General features: G+C 51.8%; 2 annotated features.

The window, feature by feature from the left end:
- Nucleotides 5,100–5,394: an enhancer, noted in NCBI's record as "tiled region #6873; K562 Activating DNase unmatched - State 5:Enh, and HepG2 Activating DNase unmatched - State 4:PromP". NCBI's record gives its function as "activates a minimal TATA promoter and a strong SV40 promoter by Sharpr-MPRA in K562 cells, with weak activation in HepG2 cells {active_cell/tissue: HepG2 | K562}" and the evidence as "EXISTENCE:reporter gene assay evidence [ECO:0000049][PMID:27701403]".
- Nucleotides 8,826–9,026: a silencer, noted in NCBI's record as "peak3267 fragment used in MPRA reporter construct". NCBI's record gives its function as "represses an SCP1 promoter by STARR-seq MPRAs in K562 erythroleukemia cells {active_cell/tissue: K562}" and the evidence as "EXISTENCE:reporter gene assay evidence [ECO:0000049][PMID:32103011]".

The raw sequence follows: 12,878 nt of genomic DNA on the forward strand, positions 1-12,878 counted from the left end.
ATGCCAAATTCGCACAGGGGTTAGCAAACTTTTTCCTAAAGAGCCGTATAATAAATACACACACACTAAATAAATATATACACAGTTTAGGCGGGGTGCAGTGGCTCACGCCTGTAATCCCAGCACTTTGGGAGGCCGAGGCGGGGGGATCACTTGAGATCAGGAGTTCGAGACTAGCCTGGACAACATGGCGAAACCCAGTCTCTACTAAAAATACAAAAATTAGCCAGGCATGGTGGCGCGTGCACCTGTAGTTTCAGCTACTTAGGAGGCTGAGGCAGGAGAATCGCTTGAACCCAGGAGGTGGAGGTTGCAGCGAGCTGAGATCGTGCCACTGCACTCCAGCCTGTGCGACAGAGACTCTGTCTCAAAACAAAACAAAACAAAACGAAAAAACACACACACGCACACACACAAAAAACCACCCAGCTTAAACTCTGTCTGTTGCAGCTCCTGAAATCTGCTCTCGCAGTTTGCAAGAGGCCTTAGATAACCTGTACGCAACTGGGCATGGCTGTGTCCTAATACAGTTTTATTTTTAGAGGCTGAAATGAGAATGTCACATAATTTTCTGTGAATGCTACCGCTACCATGAAATAATTCTTTTTTTTTTCTTTTTTTTTTTTTGGAGACGGAGTCTCCCTCTGTTGCCCAGGCTGTAGTGCAATGGTGCAATCTCGGCTCACTGCAACCTCCACCTCCCGAGTTCAAGCGGTTCTCCTGCCTCAGCAAGACTCCATCTCAAAATTAAAAAATAAATAAACATATAAATAAAAGTTGCCTAATCTAGAACCTCCTACAGGCAACAGTAGCTGCCTGGAATTTAACAATGTTGTTTATTTATTTATTTATTTATTTTTTGCTTCTGTTTCAGGCACCAGATACTACATTTCTTTTTAATTTACTCTAGCATTATAATGTTTCCTTTTACAAAAGTTGTTGAGAAGGAGTCTTGCTCTGTTGCCCAGGCAGGAGTGCAGTGGCGGGATCTCGGCTCTCTGCGAGCTCCACCTCCTGGGTTCACACCATTCTCATACCTCAGTCTCCCGAGTAGCTGGGACTACAGGCGCCCGCCACCATGCCCGGCTAATTTTTTGTATTTTTTTTTTTTTTAGTAAAGACAGGGTTTCACTGTGTTAGCCAGGATGGTCTTGATCTCCTGACTTCGTGATCCACCCACCTCCGCCTCCCAAAGTGCTGGCATTACAGGCATGAGCCACCACGCCCGGCCAACCTTCATTTTTTTTCAATAAATTTATTTTAAAAAGAAAACTTTGTAACAGGATAATAAATTGAAACCAATAATGGATACCCAAAATAGAAGGGAACTGTAAAAATACATGCAATGGCCGGGCTGGCGCAGTGGCTCACGTCTGTAATCCCAGCACTTTGGGAGGCTGAGGCAGGTGGATCAACACAGGTCAGGAGTTCAAGAGCAGCCTGGCCAACATGGTGAAACCCCATCTCTACTAAAAATAAGAAAAATTAGCTGGGCACGGTGGCGGGTGCCTGTTGTCCCAGCTACTCGGGAGGCTGAGGCAGGAGAATCGCTTGAACCTGGGAGGTGGAGGTTGTAGTGAGCCGAGATCACGCCACTGCACTCCAGCCTGGGCTACAGGTGAGATTCTGTCTCAAAACAAAACAAAACAAAACAAAACAATAACAATAACAAATAAATAAATGCAATGTTTACTGTTCTTAAGATTATTATTATTTCTTTCCTTCTTTTATTTTTTTGAGACAGTCTGGCTCTGTCGCCCAGGCTGGAGTGCAGTGGTGTGGTCTCAGCTCACTGCAACCTGCACCTCCCAGGTTGGAGCAATTCTCCTGTCTCAGTCTCCTGAGTAGATGGGATTACAGGCGTGCACCACCGCGCCTGGATAATTTTTGTATTTTTAGTAGAGACGGGGTTTTGCAATTTAGGCCAGGCTGGTCTTGAACTCCTAACCTCAGGAATATCCTCCTGCCTTGGCCTCCCAAAGTGCTGGGATTACAGGTGTGAGCCACCACGCCCAGCCTGCCAGGGATTAAACATTAACGTCAATATTTGAGCTGGCAGGGGCTTTATATTACCTTCACATCTATCCCCACATTTCATAGACCAAGAAACAGTCTGGGAGAGAAGCAACTCTCTGGCATCACAAGTTTGCTGCTGAGCTAGGGATAGGACTCTCTTTCTCTCTCTTTTGAGACAGGGTCTTGCTCTGTCACCCAGGCTGGACTGCAGTGGTGCCATTATATACCACTGCAGCCTCAACCTCCTGGGCTCAAGCAATCCTCCTGCCTTGGCCCCCTGAGTAGCTGGGACCACAGGCATGCACCATCACACCTGGCTAATTTTTGTATTTTTTGTAAAGATGGGATCTTGCTGTGTTGCCCAGGCTGGTCTTGAATTCCTTGGCTCAAGTGATCTGCCCGCCTCAGCCCCCCAAAGTGCTGGCATTATAGGCATGAGCCACCATGCCTGCACCCCACCCCAGATTTTTTAATTAGCTGAGCTAGGTGGCATATGCCTGTGGTCCCAGCTACTCAGGAGGCTGAGGTGGGAGGATCACTTGAGCCTGGAGTTTGAGGCTGCAGGGAGGCCTGGGTGACAGAGGGAGACCCTGGCTGAATAAATAAATAAATAGCCTTGCGCGGTGGCTCACGTCTGTAATCCCAGCACTTTGGGAGGCCGAGGTGGGTGGGTCACCTGAGGTCAGGTGTTCAAGACCAGCCTGGCCAACGTGGTGAAACCCCGTCTCTTCTAAAAATACAAAAATTATCCAGGCATGGTGGCTTATGCCTGTAGTCCCAGCTACTCAGGAGGCTGAAGCAGGAAAATCGCTTGAACCCAGGAGGCAGAGGTTGCAGTGAGCCAAAATCGTGCCACTGCATTCCAGCCCAGGCAACAAAGTGAGACCCTGTCTCAAAAAAAAAAAAAAAATAGTAGGGTTACATGTTGGGAAATTTAGGTACAGAATCAGATACGCGCAGGAAGGTAGATAATGTGAAGTGAGACTCAGGGAGAAGGAAGCATGTATCGGCCAAGCAGAAAGACCTCAGAAGGAATGAACCCTTGGCCACATGTGGTGGTGAACGCCTGTAATCCCAGCTACTTGGGAGGCTGAGGCAGGAGAATCGCTTGAACCCGGGAGGTGGAAGTTGCAGTGAGTTGAGATGGCACCACTGCACTCCAGCCTGGGCAACAAGAGTGAAACTCCGTCTCATAAAAAAAGAGAAGGAATGAATCCTGCCCACACCTTGATCTTGCAGACTAGATAGGGAAGCCCAGGGATACTTCAGTTCTTGGGGCCTGGAAATGCTGTCCTCCTCAACCCCCAGGCCAACCCCGGTAGGGTGGAGCGGAGGAGACACCCCCTGCCCCTGCCCTGTTTCCTCCTCCACCAACGGGAAGGATGCCAGTGGGGGCCTCCTGTGCCTCCTTTTCCAGGTGAGAGGGTCCGCTGTGACCCTTGGACCTACCAGCCATAAAGCAATCACCGGGAGGAGGTGGTGGCGAGACTGGGAGGTGCGGACTGGACTGAGGGGTGTGGATCAGGAGATGAGACGGGTTAGGTGCTGACTCTCGGTACCGTCCTGCAGACAACCTGTTCCCCTGAAACTGGTGGACAGACTTTCTTTTTTTCTTTCTTTCTTTTTTTTTCTTTTTCTTTTTGAGACAGAGTCTCACTCTGTTGCCCAGGCTGGAGTGCAATGGCGTGATCTCAGCTCACTGAAACCCCTGCCTCCTGGTTCAAGCGATTCTCTTGCCTCAGCCTCCCAAGTAGCTGGGATTACAGGTGTGCGCCAGCACGCCCAGCTAATTTTTTGTATTTTTAGTAGAGATAGGGTTTCACTATGTTGGCCAGTCTGGTCTCGGACTCCTGACCTCAGGTGATCTGCCTGCCTCGGCCTCCCAAAGTGCTGGGATTACAGGTGTGAGCCACCGCGTCCAGCCTATTTACTTCTTATACAGGAATGGTTTCATTCAGCATCTTCCTCTCGTGGGTGGGGAGTGGGGAATGTCTCCTCAGTCTTGCTCCCTGTTGGATCCCAGCACCCGGCACACAGCAGGTGCTCAATAAATAACAGTTACAGGAATGAATGAATGAATGAATTCTCAAGCACAGTGTCCTCCATTCTTTAAGAAGGGCAGAGCGAGTCCCCCAAACTCACAGGATTTGGAGGCCCTGGCTCCAGTGTTCTGTCTTCACCCACCCCTCTGAGAGCAGAGGCTGGAACTCCTGGGATCCACCCAGGACATCAGAGGAGAGTTGGATGCCTGGAGGGTCAGGTCCTAATCAATGTCATCGCCCGTGAGGCCGGCCAGAGTCCCCCTGTGGCCTCCCAGCCTCTGGCTGGCCCCTGGCACACCCACATCACAAGGGTTTTACTCACTGCCTGGCTGTATTACAAGGGAGGGAAGGGGAGGAGGGGGAGGAAAAGGAGGAGGAGGAGGAGGGAGGGAAGGGGAGACGGGAGAGGAGAGGAAGGGGAGGAGGGCAAGAGGGAGGAGGAGGAAGGGAGGAGGGAGGGGGGAAGGGGAGGAGTGGGAGGAGGAGGGAGAAGAGAGGAGGAGGGGGAGGAGGGAAAGGAGGAGGGAGAGGAATGGGGAAAGAAGGGGAGGAGGGGAGGATGACGGGGGAGTGGAAGGAGAAGGAAGGAAGCACGGAGGAGTGGGAGGAAGAGGAGAAGGAGAAGGAAGGGAGGAGGGAGAGGAGAAGGGGGAGAAGGGAGAGGTGGGGAGGAGGGGAAGAGGGGGAGAAGGGGGAGGTGGGGAAGAAGGAGGAGGGTGAGAGAGAGGAGGAGGGAGGAGGCTGAGGAGGAGGGAGAGGAGGGAGAGAAAAAGAAGGAGGGAGAGGAGTGGGGAAGGAGGGGAGGATGAGAGAGAGGATGGGGAGGGGAAGGAGAAGAGGGAAGGGAGCAGGGAGGAAGGGGAGGAAAGAGAAGGGGAAGAGGAGAGGGAGGAGGAGGGAAAAGGCCAAGGAGGAGGGAGCAGGGAGGAGGAGGAAGGCAAGAGGAACAGAATGGAGAGGGAGGAGGGAGAGGAGGAGTGGGAGCTGCTGCCCTCCTGGACCCACTCACTTTTTCCACCGGGAACTGGCCCACAAGGGTGGTGCTCAAGGACCCCAGGGCAAGTCCCCCCGACCCCGCATCTGTAGCAGGGGACCTGGGTGTTGTCAGTTCTCCTGCCTGACTCATGCAATGGCCAAGTGAGTCACATCCCCTTATCAGCTCCTCTGTCCTCCTGTGCAGAATGGGGACTGTCCTTACGATCAGAGCTGTGCAGAGGCCAAAGGGCTAAGGCAACCAGGAAGGGACAGCCGGGCATCCGCTGGGCGTCACGGGACTGCAGTCAGATAGATTTCTTTTTTCTTTTTTTTTTTTTTGAGACGGAGTCTTGCTCTGTCGCCAGTCTGGAGTGCAGCGGCAAAATCTCAGCTCATTGCAACCTCTACCTCCCGGGCTCAAGCCTCCTGAGTAGCTGGGATTACAGGCATGCACCACTGCGCCCTGCTAATTTTGTATTTTTAGTAGAGACGGGGTTTCACCATGTTGGCCAGGCTGGTCTCAAACTCCTGACCTCAGGTGATCCTCCCACCTCGGCCTCCCAAAGTGCTGGGATTACAGGCGTGAGCCACCTCACCTGGCCAGAAGTCCCTTTTTAGCGCTTTCCGTGGGAATGCTCCCACATGTGGTTCGTCCTTTATCCCTGGCTTTACACATGAGGAAACTGAGGCAGGGGGAGGCAGTCGTTTGCCCACAGTCACAGGGGGGCAAGTGGCAGAGCCAGGATTCTGTCCAATAGACCATGTAGACTTTTTTTTCCTTTTTGAGATGGAGTCTCACTCTGTCACCCAGGCTGGAGTGCAGTGGTGCAATCTGGGCTCACTGCAACCTCCACCTCCCGGGTTCAAGCGATTCTCCTGCTTTACCCTCCTGAGTTGCTGGGATTACAGGCGCCTGCCACCATGCCTGGCTAATTTTTGTATTTTTAGTAGAGACGGGGTTTCACCATGTTGGCCAGGCTGGTCTCGAACTCCTGACCTCAGGTGATCTACCTGCCTCGGCCTCCCAAAGTGCTGGGATTACAGGCATGAGCTCCTGTGCCCAGCTAATTTTTGTATTTTTAGTAGAGATGGGTTTTCACCATGTTGGTCAGGCTGGTCTCAGACTCCTCACCTCAAGTGGATCGCCTCAGCCTCCCAAAGTGCTGGGATTACAAGCGTGAGCCACCGTGCCCGGCCCACGTAGACTTTTATTTATTCACTTATTTATTGTTTATCTCCACGTTCCTGAGGTATCCTCTTAAGTTTTCCAGCAGCTATATTTTAAAAGTTCAAGGCAAAATTAAATTTCACTTAAAAAATATATTTGTGGCCGGGCGCAGTGGCTCACGCCTGTAATGCCAGCACTTTGGGCGGCCGAGGTGGGAGGATCACGAGGTCAGGAGATTCAGACCATCCTGGCTAACACGGTGAAACCCCGTCTCTACTAAAAATGCAAAAAATTAGCCGGGCATGGTAGCACGTGCCTATAATCCCAGCTATTCGAGAAGCTGAAGCAGGAGAATTGCTTGAACCCGGGAGGCAGAGGTTGTAGTGAGCCGAGTTCGTGCCATTGCACTCCAGCCTGGGCGACAGAGCAAGACTCCGTCTCAAAAAAAAAAAAAAAAATTAAATAATGATGAACTCTTGCTCGTTTGATGACATTGTATTTTTTGCGCAATGGGAAACTCCTGTGGTTCCCGGGACAGCACGCTGTTGTATGTTCTGCTGGGTGGGTTTATGAGAATTGACAACAGTGTGCAAACACATTGGGCAATGCAGGGCTTTATACAGGGACGTGTTCCATTGTCAAGCTTTTATTGACTTTACCACTTGGCTCAAAACATGGGAAGGGCCAGGTGTGGTGGCTCATGCCTGTAATCCCATCACTTTGGGAGACCGAGGCAGGCAGATCACCTCAGGTTGGGAGTTCAAGACCAACCTGATCAACATGGTGAAACCCCGTCTCTACTAAAAACACAAAATTAGCTGGGCGTGGTGGCGGGCGCCTGTAATCCCAGCTACTCAGGAGGCTGAGGCAGGAGAATTGCTTGAACCTGGGAGGCAGAGGTTGCAGTCAGCCGAGATCGCAGCCATTGTACTCCAGTCTGGGCAACAAGAGCGAAACTCAGTCTCAAAAAAAAAAAAAAAAGAGGGTTTGGCGTGGTGGCTCATGCCTGTAATCCCAGCACTTTGGGAGGCTGAGGTGGGAGGATCACTTGAGGCCAGGAGTTTGAGACCAACCTGGGCAACATGAAGAAACCTCATCTCCACAAAAAAATACAAAAATTAGCCAAGCGTGGTGGCACGCACCTGTAGCCTCAGCTACTTGGGAGGTTGAGGTGGGAGGATCACTTGAGCCTGGGAGGCAAAAGTTGTAGTGAGCCAAGATGGCGCCACTGCACTCCAGCCTGAGCGACAGAGTGAAACCTTGTATCAAAACAAACAAACAAACAAACAAACAAACAATGATGTGTTAGCAATAAAGTGACAGAGAGTCTACAGAGGGAACATGTACTTAAACACATTGCTGAAAATGACTGCAGGAATTTTACTTTAGATTCCAAGTTATTGTCCCTTTGAGATACGTAGTCGTGTTCAGTGGATAAACTGCTATGAGGTCAATGGCAGTGAAAAGTCCTTCTGTCCCCACAAGAGCTTCTTTTTCTTCTTCTTCTTCTTCTTTTTTTTTTTTTTTTTGACAGAAGCTTTCTCTGTGGCCCAGGCTGGAATTTAGTGGCGTGATCTCGGCTCACTGCAACCTCTGCCTCCCAAGTTCGAGTGATTCTCCAGCCTCAGCCTCCTGAGTAGCTGGCATTACAGGCGAGTGCCACCACGCCCAGCTAATTCTTGTATTTTTTAGTAGTGACAGGGTTTCGCCATGTTGGGCAGGCTGGTCTCAAACTCCTGACCTCAGGTGATCCGCCCACCTCGGCCTCCCAGAGTGCTGGGATGACAGGCGTGAGCTACCATGCGGGCCAAGTGCTTATTCTTATCCTCCCTGTTAACAGATACCTGAAATCCCTTCATTGAGGTGTACAAAAGGCTTCTAAAGTTCATAATAATAAGTATTGTTATTTTTGAGAAAAAGTCTCGCCCTGTGGCCCAGGCTGGTGCAGTGGTGCAGTCACAGCTCATGGTAGCCTCAAACTCCCAGGCTCAAGCGATCCTCCTGCCTCAGCCTCCCAAGTAGCTGGGACTACAGGTGTGCACCACCATGCTTGGCTAATTTTTTTTTTTTTTTGAGACGGAGTCTTGCTCTGTCGCCCAGGCTGGAGTGCAGTGGCGCGATCTCAGCTCACTGCAAGCTCGGCCTCCTGGGTTCACGCCATTCTCCTGTCTCAGCCTCCCGAGTAGCTGGGACTACAGGTGCCCACCGCCATGCCCAGCTAATTTTTTGTATTTTTAGTAGAGACGGGGTTTCACCGTGTTAGCCAGGATGGTCTCGATCTCCTGACCTCGCGATCCGCCCGCCTTGGCCTCTCAAAGTGCTGGGATTACAGGCGTGAGCCACCATGCCCGGCCCTTTTCTTTTTGATAGAGGGTCTTGCTCTGTCACCCAGGCTGGGGTGCAGTGGCATGATCTCGGCTCACTGCAGTCTCCACCTCCTGGGTTCAAGTGATCCTCCTGCCTCAGCCTCCCGAGTAGCTGGGATTACATGTGCCCGCCACCACATCTGGCTAATTTTTGTATTTTTAGTAGAGACGCGGTTTCACCATGTTGGCCATGCTGCCTGGCTAATTTTTTAAACTTTTTTGTAGTTATGAGGTCTTGCTCTATTGCCCAGGCTGATCGGGAACTCCAGGGCTTGAGCAATCTTCCCGCCTCAGCCTCCCAAAGGGCTTGGATTACCGGCATGAGCCACGGTGCCCGGCTCCAGCAGGTTTTGATAAGAGAAGGGGGAGTGATCTCTCTCGAGGGCACTAGAACTCCCAAGAGTGATAAACGGGGTGAGGAGAGGCAGAGAGGAGTCCAGAAGTCAAACATCACCTACTTGATCCACCCACTGTGATGGCCCTGGAAAAAAGCCTCCACGGCAAATGCTGAATAAATATTATGACTGGGATCACTAAAGCCAAGCCAAGGCAAACAACCCCTCTAAAATCCAACACAGAGCAGATAAAAGGAGATCAGAAAAATGTAGAGGTCAAGGGCGAGATAATTCTAGTAGCACCCAGACAGGGACAGGTACCGTTATCGGGGTCTCTTCTTGGGCCCCGTGGAGCTTGGGGACCCGGATCCTTCTATGGGGTGGGGCCATCCTGGGCACTGGAGGTTGCTGAGCAGTGTCCCTGGCCTCCACCCACCCCGCGCCAGGGCCACCCCCCTTTGTTGTAACAACCACAGATGTCCTCAGACATCACCCAGTGTCCTCGGGGGAGTGTAAAATCACCCTGGGTGAGCTCCCCTGGGTTAGGGGATTCCATGGACCCCCAAGAGACTGTATCCCGTGATGCTCTGCCCTGCTGAGGTCCCAGGAGGCTGCACACATTGAAATCCATGCCCTGAATGGGGAAGGAGGGAGGAGGTGAATCCCAGGATCTGGGGTTCCCCTGGTTTATACCGTCTGCCCTGTTGGGAGTTTATTCTGGTGTCTGGTGTGAGCAGGGAACCCACTCAATTTTTTCCCAAATAATTAATGCAGTCTTTCTCCCCCAGATCCCGTGGCTGTGGGGCAGGATTGCTTTCTGGGGTGGGGCCGTCCTGGGCACTGTAGGGTGCTGAACGGCATCTCTGGCCTTCACCCATTCTATGCCAGGAGCATCTCGCACTCGTGACAACCACAGATGTCCCAGACATTGCACAGTGAGTGTCCTGAGTTTCCGTCCGGAAGGTTGAGGCTGCAGTGAGTTTTTTTTTTTTTTTTTGAGATGGAGTCTCGCTCTGTCACCCAGGTTGGAGAACAGTGGCACCGATCTCGGCTCACTGCAAGCTCCGCCTCCCAGGTTCACGCCATTCTCCTGCCTCAGCCTCCCGAGTAGCTGGGACTACAGGCGCCCACCGCCACGCCCGGCTAATTTTTTTTTTCGTATCTTTAATGGAGACAGGGTTTCACCGTGTTAGCCAGGATGGTCTCAATCTCCTGACCTCGTGATCCACCCACCTCGGCCTCCCAAAGTGCTGGGATTCCAGGCATGAGCCACTGTGCCCGGCCTGCTGCAATGAGTTTTGATCACAGCACTGCACTCCAGTCTGCCCTAGTGGAGGGCAAGTGCAGTAATGTGAGTTAGTGTTGGATAAAAGAACCATATCGTGTGTGGCATATGGTAGCCCCTTATTGAATTTTGATTTCATGAATACATATGAGTGATCCATTGAAAAATATAAACCAGGCCGGGCGTGGTGGCTCATGCCTGTAATCCCAGCACTTTGTGAGGCCAAGGCGGGTGAATCACTTGAATTCAGGAGTTCAAGACCAGCCTGGCCAACATGGTGAAACCCCATCTCCACCAAAAATACAAAAATTAGCTGGGTGTGGTGGTGGGAGCCTGTAATGCCAGCTACTCAGGAGGCTGAGGCAGGAGAATCGCCTGAACCTGGGAAGTGGAGGTTGCAGTGAGCTGAGATTGTGCTACTGCACTCCAGCCTGGGCGACAGAGCGAGACTCTGTCTTGAGAAAGAAAGAAAGAAAGAGAGAAAGAAAGATAGAGAGAGAAAAGAGAAAAAAAGAGAGAGGAAAGAAGGAAGGAAGGAGGGAGGGAGGGAGGGAGAGAAGGAAGGAAGGAAGGAAGGAAAGGAAGGAAGGAAGGGGAAGGGAACCAGGATGTGAATTTTTTTAGAGCAAGGAGGGCACATAAATTACCCCTCTCAACCTAGCACATGGCACAGTGTCCAGCAAACAGAAAGCTTGATTTAGTCTCCTATTTGCTAAACTTCCAACAGTGCCCTGCTGTTTAGCACAAACCAAACTCCTTGCCACAACACACAGGGCTTTGCACGACCTGCCCCGTCCCCTCCCTGCCTTCCCCTCCTCCCTGCCTTCCCCTCCTCCCTGTCTTCCTCTCCTGCCTGTCTTCCTCTCCTCACTCTGCTCCAGCCACAGGGGTCTCATTGCTGTTCCTCCAATGCGCTAGGCACGGACCTGCCTCAGGGCCTTTGCACAAACTGTGCCTCTGCCTGGGACACCTTTCCCCAGACCTTCCCAGGGCCAGTTCCATCTCATCCTTCAGGACTGCACTGAACATGTCATTTTTTTTTTTTTTGAGACAGAGTCTCACTGTCGCCCAGGTTGGAGTGCAGTGGTGTGATCTCAGCTCACTGCAACCTCCGCCTCCTGGGTTCAAGTGATTCTCCTGCTTCGGCCTCCCGAGTACTGGTATTGCAGGCATGTGCTACCACACCCATCTAATTTTTATATTTTTAGTACAGATGGGGTTTCACCATGTTGGCCAGGTTGGTCTCAAACTCTTGACCTCAGGTGATCCACCCACCTCGGCCTCCCAAAGTGCTGGCATTACAGATGTGAGCCACCACGCTTGGTCTAATATGTCATCTGCTAAAGGGGGACTTTGCCTGGGCACAGTGGCTCATGCCTGTAAATCCAGCACTTTGGGAGGCTGAAGCAGGTGGATCATTTGAGCCCAGGAGTTTGAGACCATACTGGCCAACACAGTAAGACCCCATCTCTATAAAAAAAAAAAAACAAAATTAGCCAGGTGTGGTGGTGCACGCCTGCAGTCCTAGCTACTTGGGAGGCTGAGACGGGAGGATCACTTGAACCCAGGAGTTGGAGGCTGCAGTGAGCTATGATCCTGCCACTGCACTCCAGCCTGGGCAATAGAGTGAGACCCTGTCCTCCACCAACACCAAAAAAAAAAACAAAAAAACAAAACAGGGCTCCTCTCTCTTGGTAGGGGGTGGAGGGGAGGTCAGAGACACCTCTCAGCCACCCGGGCTGATTCACAAATATCGAACATTCACTAAAATGTCAATACAGTGACCTAGAGCCAGAGGGGAAGAGGGAGGGTACAAGAGGAGAGTTCCAGGCAGAGGGGCGAGCAGGTGAGTAGGTGCAAAGGCCCTAAGCAGGAACCAGTTTGGCTCCATAAATATTTGTTGACTCAATGAACGATAGAAGATTCTAGAGAGAATTGATTGCACAGAATCACCCATGGGGACTCAGAGGCGGAGTCCAAGCTGGTTTCGGAGGGGGCTGGGGGCCGGAGGTTGGCAGGTGGGGTGAAGGATGGGAGCCGCTAGCTGCTGGCAGGAAAACTGGCTTCAGTGAAGATCTGGTCTGGTCCTCTTGGTTTGTTTCTGTCCAGGGAGTGGACAGGACCCATGTAAGGGCCCTGGGCTATCCCAGAACCCATCTGGGAATTCTGAAGAGAAAAAGTCCTGTAACTGGCCGGGTGCGGTGGCTCACGCCTGTAATCCCCGCACTTTGGGAGACTGAGGGGCCGATCACGAGGTCAGGAGTTCGAGACCAGCCTGGAAAACATGATGAAACCTCGTCTCTACTAAAAATACAAAAGTTAGCCGGGCATGGTGATGGGGACCTGTAGTCCCAGCTACTCGGGAGGCTGAGGCAGGAGAATCACTTGAACCCAAGAGGCAGAGGTTGCAGTGAGCCGAAATGAGATGGCACCACTGCACTCCAGCTTGGGCCACAGAGCGAGACTCCGTCTCAAAAAAGAAAGAAAAAAAGAAAAAGTCCTCATAAGTAGGGCAGAGGTCACGGCAGAGTGGAGGTACCCCAGACTTCGACCTTTGCTCACTGAGGGCTGGAAAACCACAAAACACCCAGATAACGGTCTTCCCTCCCCTGCTCCTGCCTGCCCCAGTGTCACTGGCCCTCAACCCTGTCTCTCCACCCTGTCCACCAATCAGCACCTGGAGGTGGGCTG

Source organism: Homo sapiens, chromosome 19, assembly GCF_000001405.40.
Source record: "Homo sapiens chromosome 19, GRCh38.p14 Primary Assembly".
Classification (NCBI taxonomy): Eukaryota; Metazoa; Chordata; class Mammalia; order Primates; family Hominidae; genus Homo; species Homo sapiens.